Source organism: Homo sapiens, chromosome 6, assembly GCF_000001405.40.
Source record: "Homo sapiens chromosome 6, GRCh38.p14 Primary Assembly".
NCBI lineage: Eukaryota > Metazoa > Chordata > Mammalia > Primates > Hominidae > Homo > Homo sapiens.
The window spans coordinates 56,926,696-56,943,244 of NC_000006.12; the positions used below are offsets into that span (position 1 = coordinate 56,926,696).

The window sequence follows — 16,549 nt, forward strand, 5'->3', positions numbered from 1 at the left end:
GCGACCCTCTTTTTATTAAGAGGAAGACTGAAGGCTCTCTAAGGTTCCTGAGTGTAGAGCTTATTAAATCGTGTAACTAAGTCAATGGGAGGATATGCTCTCCTCAAACTGGTACGCTTATGCTTCACCTCAGGAATACATGTACTTGAAGAACTTAGAAGGAAGAAGGGACACAAAACATACAGCACCAGGACCCAAGATTCTGCCAAGAGCATATTCATAATTCTATGAAAATGCAAATATTTATATGCAGAGTCATACCTCCAAAAACAGTATCAGTAGGTAACTTCAGCAGAGACTGGCAACAGCATAGGAGGGAAAAGAGCAGGTAAGAGGGAGAATTAATTAGATGCATATGTACAATAATTAAAGGATAAAAAGGGCACCAGAGACATGCTGCCTGTTTCACAGTTTGATCTAAACTAATGCTGGTAGCCAAAAAAGCTTTTTTTTTAACTAGCTCAGCTAATGCAGAACACACAAACATCATTTTATCTATTAGTCATTTCTGGATTCATTTAATGAAATAAGTTTCCCATTATATGATACCAAACTAGTACCCAACCCAGAGTCTCATAAGGCAATGCTACCAAATCTTAAAAAATAAAAACAAGACAAAACAACAACAAAAGCCTGGAAATGTTAATGTTAAATGCTATCTGAATTTTTCCAGAGATTAGCAAAAATGTGGGAGATCCAAAGGTTTTATAAAGCAAATATAACATTGAAATAAAAGCCTGACATGGATTTCCCTGAAAGAGAAAAATTAAGACCAATCTCAGATATAAATATTAATACAAAAATCCTAATTACAATATCAGCAAGTAGAATCAGTAGTGCATTAAAAGAATACAATATGATGAAGGGAGATTTGTTACAGAAATTCTAGAAGTGTCTAGAAGTGTCTAGGGTTAGAAAAGTTCCTATTATATTTCACAGGTCTAAAAAGAAAAACCATACAATCACCCCCTTTGACGAAGAGAAAAAAATTAGAAAAAAATGAGCAACTGATCTTGACAAAAATGTTCAATAAAATAGGAATGCATGAGTCATTCAGGATTGGGTCCTTTCAGGAAAACAGAAAGCACATTAGATATTTCAACAGGAGGGATTTAAAAAAGAGAATTGTTTAAACAGGTACTAGAGGACTAGAACAGCAAAACTAGGACACTGAGCAACCTGCAGACCATAAATGCAAGGAAGCAGCTACCACCTCCAGTTTGAGGGGTTCCAAAGGATGAGATTAAGTTACAAGATCATGGGAGCTCAAAGGAAGGGCCCCACAAAGCTGGGGCTCAGACCTGTGAGAAGGGGGCACTGCTCAGCTGCTCAGCTGCTGTTAGTTCTTTAGGAGCTCAGAGGAGGGAAGTGCATCTGAGTTGGGGCTTATACCTCTGAGGTGGGAGCACTGCCTAGCTGCTGCTGGTACCTACAAGGCGGAGTGATGAGGCTGGCTCTGGCAATCTAGAAAAATAAATACATAAAGCTGAGGTGAGATACCCCTACTGGGGCACCTCTGACAGGAAGAGCAAGAGAGACAGGGAGTGCTTCTCCCCACTTCCCCTTTCCAAGCTCCCTTTAGTACCTCGTATTGGCAGAGCCCACCAGAAAGTGCTATCATTTTCCAAACCCCCTCCAGTGCCCCCTATTGACGCAGCCCACTGTGCTATCAAAGGAGTCCCAGCCCCAACACCAGAGAGTATAGAATAGAAAGGTGAGGTGAAGCTGGAAGACCAAGAGTAAATGACCAGCAAAGATTTATCTCAACCCAAAAGCCCACTTATGCTAATTAAGGAAACATCAGAGACTTTCCCAATAAAGTCAGAAACAAGAAAAAGGTACTCACTCTTATTTCTATTATTTAACATTTTGCTGGATGTCCTAGCCGATACAATTATACAAGAGAAATAAATAAAATGCAAAAGTTGGAAAAGAGGATATACAATAATCACTATTTGCGGATGATATGTTATTACACTTGGAAAACCCAAGAGATTCTACTATAATAAAATCCACTACAAACAGTAAGATAAGTTAGCAGATTATAAGATTAAGATAATGAAACCAATAGCTTCACTTACAGAAACTACAAACGGAAGACATAATGTAAAAAAGACCTGTTTTTAATCACAACCAAAATAAAATACTAGATATACTTTTACAAGAAATATGGAAGAAATACATGAAAAAAACTCTGCCAAAAAAGAAGAGTTGAACTAACAGAAAAGTATACCTACTGATAGGAAAACTAAAAATCATAAATATTCCATTTATCCTTTAATAAAATTCACATTTAACATGTTCAACAAAAATACTGATTTTTTTTCCTTTGGAATTAGACAACCCAATTCTAATATTCACATAGGAATAAAAAGAATACAACTAAAAGAGTATACCAATAAGGGAGGACTAGAACATATTATGAAGCTTTGATAATTAAAATAAACCATTGTAAATGGCCATGTGATCATATTTACCAAAATCAAAATATGTAAATATTTGATTCCATAATTCTCCTTCTGGGAATTTATCCCACAGATAACATTTGCACACATGTAAAAGGCTAAGGTTTTACATTTCAGCATTGATTGTAATAATGAAAGATTAGAAAAATCCCAAATACATTAATAGGCGGATGATTAGCTAAATTATGTTCATGCGTTCAATAGAATACTATGCACCTACAAAAAGAAGTATTTCTCTATGGAAAGCTCTTCAAGATACATTGAGTGAATAAAACAAGATGCAAAACAGTGTATACAATATACTACTATCCATATAAAAAGGGTAAAATAAAATATATTTTTATTTCCTTGTGTATGGAAAAATAATGAAAGGATTTAAGAGAAACTAAGAATAGTCATTACTTAGATTTCCTCTTCCAGAAATAAAAAACAAGAATGAGATAAAGAATTCTCACTGATATACTTTTATATGCTTTGATTTTTGAATCACGTAAATGTTTTACCTTCTCAAAAATCAAACAAATAAAAACAATAACAGCAAAGGCTGCCACACTAAATTTTTAATCCCCCAATTTACCCTTTAATTCTATACAAAACATATATAAAATGTTAATAAACCCAATTTACCTTTAATTCTATATAAAACGTATAGAAAACTTTCAGATAAATGCAGGCATAGCCAAAGAAGAGAAGAAAAGAAGCATCAAGAGAAGAAAAGAGCATCAACACTAAATTCAATGAATGATTCATTTCTTATCTGATCACCCATCACTGTAAGATAAAGGAAATGAAAAGAGAACTCCTCAAAGGTAGAGACAAGTCTTATTCAACTTGATTGTATTCCATTTAAGTTTCTGACAGAAGCTCCTCTCAGTTGGGTTAATAAGACCAAGCCCTTCAGAACTAATGGCACAAAGTGAGCTAGCCTCCAGGATCTGGTAATTGTGTATGGGTAAGGACACCAAAAGGTAAGGAAGGTGATGATGGTTTGCAGACCTCTGGCCTCATCTTGTAGCACTCAGTGCCTAGCCAACAGGCCTATGCCGTATCTTGGTTTTTCAGGGCCCTAACTTTGGGATCTACTAAAGTAGTTGCAGCAAAGCTATTACCTAGATTCCAGTTGTTGAAAAGATCTAAGGCAAGAATTAATGACTTCGAAGAAGGGACAGCTTGAAGGAAACCCAGGCATTTTTCCTAACCTTTTATCAGCAGCCTGTCTTGTGTGTAAAATGTTTTCTTGAAAACACACAAAAAAATGAAATGTGTAGGAATCTCATGAGAAACTGGATTTCAGGGCCCAAAAACTAAAATATAGGATTAAAAATCTTTAGTTATATCTTCCTTTTTGTATACAATATTCAATGATAGATTTCCAGAATTCCATACAGTTCCTTGCTTTTGCTTCTTTTCCTACCAATAAAACAGATTCTAGACGGGCTTTAATTCAGAGAGTATCCACTTGAAGCTAAGAATTTCTTCTTTCTGGCTCACCTGATTTTTTATATCTTTATCTGAAGTGAATTGCTATATAAGACCTAATTTCCCATCACCAGCATTATCAGTAATTTTTCTAGTGTTCATTCATTTATATAAGAAAGATATGAAAAAGCAATAAAATATTCAAATAATTGCACAAATGCTGCTGAACAAAGACAGCAATGTTGCTGAAACTGGTTACAGGCAGGCAGCTCTCAGAATATTCCTTTGTCACGATTGCATGACAAAATCCAAAACCCTTGCATGAAAACATGTTTAGGATGTCATTAATATACAATGTGAAAGAGAAGGTTATATACACAGTCAGAAATTTGAACACGAAATCAATCACTTATATTGTGGAATTCAAAATCAAAACACTTCCTGCTGCCTCACTGTCAGTCATTTATAGCCTGGCATAAATTAGGTTGATGTGATAATCTCCTAATTATATCTAGCTGCATTCCTCAGTAAAGAAATGGCATTTTGATTGGAGTTGAGGGTAGAAGTTTGGGAAAGAAAGGCAAAGGGTATTTTGGAAGCTCAGGGGCTGATATGGTTTGGCTCTGTGTCCCCAAAGAGTGCTGTGGCTTCAGAGGGTTCAAGTCCCAAGACTTGGCAGCTTCCATGTGGTATTGAGCCTGCGAGTGCACAGAAGTCAAGAATTTGGGTTTGTGAATCTCCGCCTAGATTTCAGAAGATGTATGGAAATGCCTGGATGCCCAGACAGAAGTTTGCTGCAGGGGCAGGGCACTCATGGAGAACCTCTGCTAGGGCAGTGCAGAAGAGAAATGTGAGGTCAGAGCCCCCACATAGAGTCCCTACTGGGGCACTGCCTAGTGGAGCTGTGACAAGAGGGCCACCGACCTCCAGACCCCAGAATGGTAGATCCACCAACCGCTTACACTGTTGGCCTGGAAAAGCTGCAGACACTCAACACTAGCCTGTGAAAGCAGCCAGGAGGGAGGCTGTACCCTTCAAAGCCACAGGGGTGGAGCTGCCCAAGAACATGGGAACCCACCTCTTGCATCAGTGTGACCTGGATGTGAGACCTGGAGTCACAGAAGATCATTTCGGAGCTTTAAAATTTGACTGCCCTGCTGGATTTTGGACTTGCATGGGCCTTTGTAACCACTTTGTTTTGGCCAATTCCTCCCATTTGGAACTGCTGTATTTACCCAATACCTGTAACCCCATTGTATCTAAGAAGTAACTAGCTTGCTTTTGATTCTACAGGCTCATAGGCAGAAGAGATTTGCCTTGTCTCAGATGAGACTTTGGACTTTCGGGTTAATGCTGAAATGAGTTAAGACTTTGGGGGACTGCTGGGAAGGCATGATTGGTTTTGAAATGTGAGGACAGGATTGGTTTTGAAACGTGAGGACATGAGATTAGGAGGGGCCAGGGGCTGAATGATATGGTTTGGCTCTGTGTCCCCACCCGAATCTCATCTTGAATTGTACTCCCATAATTCCCATGTGTTGTGGGAAGGATCCAGTGGGAGATAATTTGAATCATGGGGGTGGTTTCCCCCAGACTGTTCTCGTGGTAGTAAATAAGCTTCAGGAGATCTGATGGTTTTATGGGGGGTTTCTGCTTTTGCTTCTCTCTCATTTTCTCTTGCCACCAACATGTAAGAAGTGCCTTTTGCTTCCCGCCATGATTCTGAGGCCTCCCCAGCCATGTGAACTTTAAATCCAATTAAACCTCTTTTTCTTCCAGAAAAAGTCTTCCAAACCTAGTCTCAAGTTTGTCTTTATCAGCAGAATGGAAGTGGACTAATAGAGGGGCATTTAAGGGAAGAGCAATTCCTTGACCAGGGTATTCTGGAAAGCCACAGAACAGGCATAGGAGGAACAGGCAGCCGGGAGGCAAGAGAAGGGTGGGAGAGAAGGAGGAGGGAAAACAGCTGAACTGAAGTTCAACTACTCTGTATTTTCTCAAATATGCCTGGTAACTCTAGTTTACTCACTTAATTCCATTCCTATATACATCAAATATTTAGCCAACATCAAATATTCAACAAATAGTAAGTGCCTATTCCATGCCAGATGCCACACAAGGCTATGGATACAAGATAAAAATTACATACCACCTGCCTTGGTGTGTAAATCCCCATATCTGGTGCCCTCATCCAGTCCCAGAGTGAGATGGAGCAGGGACACTTCTTAGGGGTCTGTGGGTCCCAAGCATAGAAATAATAGAAAATCCTGAGTTCCTTCAAGGGAATTTCCAGGTACCTAGGTCTCCCTGAGAAATAAATGAGCAACTAGATAAGCAAGAAGGTAATAGTAGCTTAAAACAATCTCCCAGGAAGTTAAAATAATACAATGTTTGGTTCTCTATAGAAAGTAAAGATAAAATCTTAACATATGTTCCTGAGTTGTTTTTCAGAAACCCAGACCCCCACCGAACAGCATGTAGACCTCAGATAGGAGGAACTGAGGACTGATCTCTGACCACTTCTCTTTGCTGTAAATTTCTTCCTGATGGTCCTGAAAGAAGTCACACCAGAAACCAGAGCTAACAATCTTTTCTGCTGACCCAGATCTTAAACAAAGCTTCCCTTCCTTAACCAATTGCAAAACAGAAAATCTTTTAATCTACCTATGACCTGCCCCCACTTCAAGATATCCCACCCTTTGTAGGCCAAACCAATGTGTAACCTCTGCATATTGATTTATGATTTTGTCTGTAACTTCTGCTTTCCTAAAACTTAACCATGCCTTTAAGAACTCGACTTGCAAGCCATTGAGGAGATCAGGTCTTTCAGCATAAGCTGCACTATTCTCCTTGCTTGGCACCCTGCAAATAAATGCCCTCCTTTCTTCCACTGCAAACCTCAGTGTGGATGTTTGGCCTTACCGTGCCAGGTGAGCAGGCCCCAGTTAGTTCAGTTCAATAACAAGAGGGGAGAATGTCCAGGAAGACTAAGGGAAGAATGTGAGATAAAGAAAGGAAGAAAATGATGTTTAATCCTCATTTTTAAGTAGAAATGGGAGTTTGCAACAACAACAAAAAAGTAGAATAGAGGGGTTCCAGCATGAGCAATGGCATGAAAACAGAATGGGGTAGGGAACCAAGCAGCTGGGTCTTGTTTGAGTTTAAGGTGTGCATTAGAGGTATGTGGGAGCTGATACCAAGAAAGGGTGTACTTATCCTGTAAGCAACGGGAAGCCATTAAGCAAAGAAAAGCCATTAAGCAAAAGGAGTGGAAGATCAGATCTTATTTCAGATAGCTTACTCTGCCAACAGTATCATAAAAAGTGAACTGAAACCCAAAGCCAAGGAAACCAGATAACAGGCTTTTGTAAGAGCCAATTCCTACATTGTCTCTGGCTTAAGGGCTTTTACATTTGTCACTATTACATTTTGTTTTATTTTATATACATATATATATTTTTTATTTTTTAGAGATGGGGATCTCACCATGCTGCTCAGGCTGGTCACAAACTCCTGGCTTCTAAAAATCTTCCCATCTCAGCCTCCTAAGTAGAACATTTTATTTAATTAGATGCTACTCATCTTTCTAGCGATTGCCTTCACCAGGTGACTGCAATTTATCCTCAAACAGGGACACTTTTTAAGATGGGATGCTAAAACAACAGACTTAAACTCAAATTCTCCCCCTCCTCAGCCCCTACCAAAGGGCTAATAGAATCTGCCCATCACTGGGGGTTGTTAGCATAACACATACTTGACCCTCAAAAAATGGCAACTGTTGCTTTTCTACTTAGTTTTTATTTTTTTAATTTGGAAAGCTAACAATAATAAATCACTTTTGTTATGGTCTGGGCTTATAAATTCCAGCACACTGCCTGGAAATGCGTTAGCTCAAGAGGGGGACAGTTTACTAATTTGTCAATCATCAGCCCACTAGTGCACTTTTATATACATATAAAATATACATATTATATATTATATTATATATATATATATATATATATATATATCGTGAGAGAGAGAGAAGGAGGGGAGAGAGAGAGAGAGAATATGACATGGAGAGAGAGAATTAAGGCACACTAATGTCTCCATCACCAAAATGGAGAGATCATTGGTTTTGTGAACTATCTCAGATTGGCTGCCCTCTGACATTAAGGATGCCTCTAGGCTGACCCTTCCAATAACTTCCAACTCTCAGTTTAACATATACTCAGAAAACACAAAATAATTTTAATATTATTCTTAAAAAAAATTAGGAAGCTATATATTCTTTAAAAAATATTGTAACATATTCCAAAGCCAAATATTGATGTCCACTAAAAGAGTTTACTAGTGTTTCTTTGAGCAACTTAGGTAAAAAAGAGTTAACTAAATATATCTAAAAAGAAATTTCTTGTTAGCTTCATGGATGATTCCCATACTGTCACCCTATCAATTGGCAGTATCTCCGTTTTCCTAAGCTACACACACTACTTCAGCTTTAATTAAAAGGCCCGTTGCCATAGTTTCTCGGCGAACAGCTCAAGGCATGCTTGAGTCCATTATTAACTGAAGTTTCTAGAGAAATTGTAATATAGCAGTAGCCAGCCAAAATTTCCCAATTTTATCTCCCACCCAGAACAGCTGATGATTCAGACATACAGCTAGGTAATCCAAATATTTCAAGAGAGTCTAAACAATTAAGAATGTATTTGGGATTCACTTTGGGATGCCCCACAACCGTTTTTAAAACAAGAGGCAGTCACACTCTAGATCAGTCTGAAATGCTCGCAACTGCCTGCTGCCTGCTGCGTGCAGCTCACTGCAGAGTGGGCAGTAGCAGGAATATACTATTTAATGTTCTTTTAATGATTCTTCAAAGTTGGTCAGTTAGTTATTTAAAACTTGTTAATGGTCTACTGCTTAATTACTTCTTAATGTGAAATTTCTACTCTTTGTAAACTCATCAGTAAATATGAAGTGATACATATTGTTTTCTTTAAAATCTGCAAGTAGTTCTTTAACCTCAATCTATTTTATGTACAGAAGTTGGAGACAAATGCAGAAAATATAAAGAATAATGAGATTGCCGGGCACGGTAGCTCACACCTGTAATCCCAGCACTTTGGGAGGCCAAAGTGGGCGGATCACGAGGTCAAGAGATCGAGACCATCCTGGCCAACATGGTGAAAACCCGTCTCTACTAAAATACAAAAATTAGCTGGGCATGGTGGTGCGTGCCTGTAGTCCCAGCTACTCAGGAGGCTGAGGCAGGAGAATTGCTTGAACCCGGGAGGCAGAGGTTGCAGTGAGCCGAGATCACACCACTGCACTCCAGCCTGGTGACAGAACGAGACTCTGTCTCAAAAAGAGAAAAAAGAAAAACAAAAAGAATAATGAGATTGGACCAAAAAAATAAGAAAAGAAACTTTTCCAAAATGAATAATCTATTGATGTTTGATTCCTAAAAAATTTGTATAATGGTAAAATAAATGGAATCTTCAGTATTTCATGAGTTATATGTAGCAATACACATCTCTACCAGCATCATCTTACCAACTGTCAAAATCCTACAAGATTTTCTAAAGGGTAAATAAATAAAAAGAGAAAAGTAACAAGCTTGAAGTGGATGGAGGACAGACTAGTTAAAGTCAGTTCGTGTTCCCATTTACAATAAAGTAGAATAAGCATGTCTCTCATTGAACGCAGCTGTAAAACTGAATAGAATGCATTGAGCAGCTACTTGAGGATTCTGAAACGTAAACAGCAGCAGGCCAATTGAAGTAAAAAGGCCAAAATTCAAAGTATATGAAAACCAGTGGTGAGTTTGCCATTTTTGACCTCCATTATTCTCCAGACCGAATGCAATGCAGCAGTGCAGCCTGAAACCCAGAAATGGGTACTGATGTTCAGATACAGAGCTCCAGAAAAAGTGCCCTAATTCTGGGTAGCGAGGTGAGAAGGACAATTCTTAAGACTCAGAGAAAGTACAGAAATCACTCATTTTTTTTTCTTTTCTCACAGCCCCTAAACAATACCACAGGCAGGGCAAACTCCTATTCCTTTACGTTTGGTTTTTATCTTCCTTCCTGGATGCAAGTGCGGTCACAGAAGTGTGCAACAGGACAGGATAACAAAAGCCCCAACTTTTTGGCTAGACAAACAAAAAGGGAATCCGAAAGTACTATCAACCATACAGAATTAAAAAGAGCAGAAGAGAATACCAGAAACAACTTTAGGCCAACAAACTAGATAACTTAGATGAAATGAACCATTTAGAAAGGCAAAAATTACCAAAGTGACTCAAGAAGAAAAGTAATCTGAATAGGCACATAAAAGTAAAGAAGTGGAATTAACAACTTAAAATTATCTTCCCACAGAGAAAACACCAGCTCCAAATGGGTTCACTGGTGAAATATTCCAAATATTTTTAAAAAACTAATACCAGCAATTTACAAACTCAAAAAACACAGAAAAACTAAAACTATATGTAAGAACCAAAACTAAATTGCCTTGAAAAAAAAGCAGCAGGAAACTTATTTTATTATCTTGGATGAGGCAAACAATTCCTAGAAATGACACCAAAGTATAATCCATAAAGAAAAATAATTGATAAATTGGACTTATTAAAATTTTTTAACTTTGCACTTAAAAAGACACCATTAAGTAAATGAAAAGAGAAACCACAGACCATAAAAATAGGCAAACTATGTATCTATTAAAGAATTTGTATCCAGAATGTATAAAGAACTCTTAAAATTCAATAAGAAAAAAAAATCAATTTTACAATGGACAAAAGATTTGAACACTTCACCAGAGAAGATATATGAATAGCTAAAAAGCATGTGAAAAGATGCTCAACATCATTAGTCTTTAGGGAAATGCAAATCAAACCTCGGAGCTATCACTACATATCCAATAGAATAGCTATAGTAAAAAAGACAGTAACAAGTATTGCCAAGGATGTCAAGATACTGGACCCCACATACACTGCTGATGAGAATATTAAATTGTACAGCCATTTAAAAAAACAACTGGAGAATTTCTTTAAAAATTAAACTTACCATACAACCTAGCAATTTTACTCCTAGGTATCTGCCCAAGAGAAATGAAAATATATGTCCACACAATGGTTTTAAGCACATATTCACAGCGGTGCTATTTGTAATAGCTAATCATTAGGGAGAAGCGCCAATGTCCATCAATGGTAAATGGATAAATCAAGTATGGTATATTCACAGAATGAAATACTATTCAGCAATAAAAATGAACAAACTACTGATACATACTACAACATGGACAAATCTCAAAAACCTTAAGCTACATGAAAGAAGCCAGATGTGAAAGACTACATATTATATGATTCTACTTATATGCAATGTCCAGGAGAGGCACTATCTATAGATACTGAAAGCAGCATGGGGTTAGGGATTGGAACAGAGATTGACTGCAAACAGGCATGAGAAATCTTTTGGGGATGACGAAAAATATTCTAAAACTAGAAATTACACCTCTCTCTCTCTTTCTCTCTCTCTCTCTCTCTCTCTCTCTATATATATATATATATATATATGTTTAAAAAAAAATTTTTTTGAGATAGATTCTTGCTCTGTTGCCTATGCTGGAATGCAGTGGCATGATCATAGCTCACTGCAGCCTCAAACTCCTGGGCTCAAGTGATCCTCCTTATCTCAGCTTCCTGAGTAACTGGGACAACAGGTGCATACCATCATGCCCAGCTAATTTTTTTATTTTTTGTTTCACTATGTTGCCCAGACTGGTCTTGAACTCCTGTCCTCAAGCAACCCTCCCGTCTCAGCCTCCCAAAGCACTGGGATTACAAGTATGAGCCACAGCACCCAGTCTGAAATTTTTGAAAAACTAAGTTGGGCCTAAAAACGTCTGGTAGAAGTAATTTCCATACATATGAAAGCCAAGAAATTGGAAAAGACTGTCCAGGGAAAAAAACAGAAAAAGCTTACCATGAGTACTTTAGGGATAGCAGACAGTAGCAAACCAAAAATAAATCAAAAGATTACCTACGGTAGATTGCAAAAATGGCCACAATACTATGTAACTCCTCCTATCAGGACTCTTCTCTACCCACTGTGACTTGCTTTGGCCAAAACAATGTGTCAGCAGAGGCACTGTACAAGCCCAGATTCCAGACTTCAAGAGGCCTCATGCACTTCCACTCTTGCTGCTTTTGGAACCCAAACCTAACCACATGTGAACCAGCCTGAGTTGGCTTACTGGAAGAGGAGAGACCATGCAGAGGAAAACCATGAGTCAGCCAGAGCTCATCAAAGATACCTGGGTGACTTCCAGCTGTGATGAGCCAAGCCTGACTCAGACCAGACCAAGTGCCCAACTGGGCACAGCCCAGATCACCAACCCACGGAATTGTGAGATAAATGATTAATGTCTAAGTTACTAAGTTTTAAATGGTTACAAAGAAGCAGCTAATTGATACACTACAAAGGGGCAGTGATGACTGCTAGACAGCATAATGAATCAAATGGTTGAGTTTTGTGAAGTTGTCCAATAAGGATATGCCTCCCAGGCACAAGAACAGAAAAGCAGTCACCAAGTCTGAGAGTTGGCAAAGTCACTGTGGCAGAAGGACTAATTAATTGCATGAGTGAAGTGAGAATAACAAAGTTTCTCAAAACTGTTGGTCCAAGGGTCTATAGTGAGCAGACTGCCAAGTGACATTAAATAAGAAGGTAATGACAGACTGACCCCCAAAGAAGATTTTGGTCCTGACGAAGGTAAGAAGGAAACTCATTAAGAGCTCACAATAAGGTCCAGAGACAGAAGCAGGTATGATCAGAGAAGGACATGGCAGAATTCAAGATCTTGGTATGAGAGTAGTTCTAAGGCATGATACAATATGCACAAGGAGGAAGGATGGTTGGATGAATGGATGGATACGTGAATGAACAGATGGGGGGATAGATAAATAAAGAGCTACAGATAAACATAAATCGATAAGAAAAATTACTTACATAAAGATTAGAAAGTTCCCCTTATATCTAGGCTTTCCTTCTAAATTTTCTGCTGTCCTTTTAAGTTGGTCAAACCATTTTCACTGTTTTTGCATTTTTTTATTTCTTTTTTATATTTATTTTATTTTTATAGATGTCTATAGATTACTCTTCCAATAAAAATTATATAAATAAGCAGCCGGGCGTGGTGGCTCACGCCTGTAATCCCAGCACTTTGGGAGGCCGAGGCGGCTGGATCACTTGAGGTCAGGAGTTCAAGACCAGCCTGGCCAACATGATGAAACCCTGTCTCTACTAAAACTACAAAAAATTAGCCAGGTGTGGTGGCGGGCACCTGTAATCCCACCTACTCAGGAGGCTCAGGCAGGAGAATCGCTTGAACCAGGGAGGTGGAGGTTGCAGTGAGCCGAGATCGTGCCACTGCACTCCAGCCTGCGTGACAGAGCAAGACTCCGTCTCAAAAAAAAAAATTTTATATAAATAAGTCTAGCAGAAGTGGAATAAAAAAAAGTTTCAATCATACTATCAAAAATGTCATAGTCTTAAATATACTGTCAGGTAATGTTTTATACACTCAAAATGACAGAAACTTCTTAAAGTAAAATAAATTCCACATTACCCCCATACACACACACACACACACACACACACACACACACACACACACACATATATACATATATACACACACACATTTTTATGCAATATATTTTTATGGATATATATAAAAATATGTACATATATATTTCTTAACCAACTTCACTGAGATACAAGGTACATAAAATAAATTGCACCCATCTAAAGCAGCAATTCTCAAAATGTGGTCCATAAACCTCTGGACCACAAGACTCTTTTAGGAATCCACAAAGTAATTTCATAATAATAAGCCATCTTAGTTTTACATTTTTGTAGCAATGTTAATATTATATTTTTCAAAAAAAATCCATTTAATCTAATTTGTCACTTCTGTGGGCATCAAGTTGTACAGTATATTCTCTTATCCTTTTTTTTTTCTTTTTATTTACTTTATTTTGAGACAGGGTCTTGCTGTCACCCAGGGCGGAGTGCAGTGGCGCAATCACAGCTCACTACAACCTTGACCTCCTGGGCTCAAGAGATCCTCCCACCTCAGCCTCTGGAGTAGCTGGGACTGCAGGCGCAAGCCACCGTGCCTGGCTTTTTTTTTTCTTTTTTTTCTCTTTTTGGAGAGTTGGGATCTCATTGTGTTGCCAAGACTGGTCTTGAACTCCTGGGCTCAAGTGATCCTCCCCCGTCAGCCTCCCAAAATGCTGAGATTAGAGGCATGAGCCACTGCAACCAGTTTTCTTACCCTTCTAATGTCTGTGGGTTCCATAGTTATACCCTCTCTTTCATTTGTCATACCAGTGATTTGATCAGTCTAGCTACAAGTTTATAAACTTTGTTCATCTAAGAGTCTAATTTGGTTTTCTCTTCTCAATTATATCCATGTTTGCTCTTACCTTTATTATGTCCTTCTTTCTACTTATTTTGTGTTTAGTTTGCTTTTCCCCCCAACACCCTCTCCAACTTCTCAAGGTTGAAGCTTTGTTAATTGATTTTAGACTTTCCTTCTTTTCTAAGATAAGCAGTTAAAGCTATATGTTTCCCTCTGAGCACTGCTTTGGCTGCACCCCACAATTTTGAGATACTGTGTTTTCATTATCATTTAGTTTAAAATATTTTTAAATTTCCTTTATGGTTTCCTTATTGATACATGAATTATTTAGAAGAATGTTATTTAATTTATAAATATTTGAGATTTTCTTGGAGATATTACTGATTCCTATATAATCTGTATTATTTCAATCCTTTAAATTAATTGTGACTTGTATTCTGACCCAGAATATAGTCTGTCTTCGTGAATGAGTCATGTAAGTATGGTGTTTCTTTACAAATATTTATTTATTCATTTTAAGACAGGGTCTCACTCTGTCACCCAGGCTGCAGTGCAATGGTGCTATCATGGTTCACCACAACTTCACCCACTTAGACTTAATCAATCATCCCACCTTAGCCTCCCAAGTAGTTGGGACTACAGTGCATGCCACTAAGCTTGGCTAATTTTTGTATTTTTGGAGAGACAGGGATTTGTCATGTTGCCCAGGCTGGTCTCAAACTCCTGGGCTCAAATGATCCTACTACCTCGGCCTCCCAAAGTGTTATCATTATAGGCATGAGCCACCGTGCCTGGCCAATGAGTGTGGTGTTTCTAGAAGTATCAGTTAGGTCAAGATAGTTGGTAGAGTTGTTTAGCTCTTTACCTACGTTTTTACTGATTTTCTGTGTGGATGTTCTATCAATTGCTGAAAGAGGTATGCTTATAAACTCTGTTGATCACCAACTATGATTACAGCATTGTCTAATTCCGCCTTTACTTTTGAAATGTTTATGTCATACCTTTTGAGGTTAGGTTTATATTAGTTAGATACACATTTATGATAATGTCTTCCAGAATGATTGGTCCTTTCATCATTGCGGAACATCCCTCTTTGTCTCTGTTAATACCATTTGCCTTGATTATCTACTTTACCTAATATTAATATAGCCACTCTAATCTTCTTATGATTATTGTTTGCATCATTTATATTTTCTCCATCCATTCACTTTCAGTCTATGTCTTTATACTTAAAGTGAATTTCTTGTAAATAGCATATAGTTAGGCCCTGCTATTTATTGATTCTGTTCATCTATGTCTCATAATTGGAGTGTTTGGCCCATTAATATTTAATGTAATTATTGATATTATTAGATTTAGGTCTATTATTTTATTATTTATTTTCAATCTGTCTCTCCTGGTTTTTCGTTCCTGTGTTCCCTTTTTCTTGCCTTCTTCAGGTCATTTGGATATGTTTTAGAAGTTCTAGTTGGGTTTATCTCTTGGGTTTCCTTTTTTTAATTAGTTGCTCTGAGAGTTAAAATATGCATCCTTAACTTTTCATTCTACCTAAGTTAATATGCCACTTCACATAAAATGTAGAAACTTTGCAAATGTATAGGAATTCCATTACTCCCCTGCCATTCTTTACACTAAAGGTGTCAAACATCTATATATTTTATACACCCCACAGGACAATGTTATAATTTGTGCTTTATATTTACTCTAATATTTGCCATTTCTCTTTTTTTTTTTTTTTTTTTTTTTTTAAGAGATAGGGCCTTGCTCTGCTGCCCAGGCTAGAGTGCAGTGGTATGATCACGGCTCACTGTAGCTTCGAACTCCTGGGCTTAAAAGCAGTCAGCCGCCTCAGCCTCCCAAGTAGTTAGGACTATAGGAGCACATCACCATGCCCGACAAAATTTTTAAATTATTTTTTGTATAGACAAGGTTTTGCTATATTGCCCAGGCCGGTCTCGAATTCCTGAGCTCAAGCAATTCTCCCGCATCTGCCTCCCAAAGTGCTGGGATTACAGGCATGAGCTACCATATCCGGTCCAATATTTGCCATTTCTGACGCTCTTTATTCAAATATACCACCACATTTCTCAAAATCAGTTAAACAGATTACCAAAGCACAGCATTTGGCTCTCATTTGGCATTAATGCATAAATTATACATAAAAATTGCCTCAAATCTTTCCTTTTAAGCTTATGACAGTTAAAGCAATACCACTTGGCACTAATGTGACTGTAAGTAAAACACAAATTCAGGAACTGGAA

General features: G+C 37.9%; 1 protein-coding gene across 4 annotated transcripts in view, besides 2 other annotated features; it reads right to left on the reverse strand.

The window, feature by feature from the left end:
• DST (dystonin) overlaps positions 1-16,549 on the reverse strand; it is a 496,835-nt gene that overhangs the window by 468,700 nt on the left and 11,586 nt on the right. The window lies entirely within an intron of this gene.
• Positions 1,521-1,570: an enhancer, noted in NCBI's record as "active region_24707". NCBI's record gives its function as "activates an Ori minimal core promoter by ATAC-STARR-seq in GM12878 lymphoblastoid cells {active_cell/tissue: GM12878}" and the evidence as "EXISTENCE:reporter gene assay evidence [ECO:0000049][PMID:35858748]".
• Positions 11,704-12,903: an enhancer, noted in NCBI's record as "P300/CBP strongly-dependent group 1 enhancer chr6:56803197-56804396 (GRCh37/hg19 assembly coordinates)". NCBI's record gives its function as "activates an origin of replication core promoter dependent on BRD2, BRD4, P300/CBP, MED14 and CDK7 cofactors, with strong dependence on P300/CBP, by STARR-seq in HCT116 cells {active_cell/tissue: HCT116}" and the evidence as "EXISTENCE:reporter gene assay evidence [ECO:0000049][PMID:35650434]".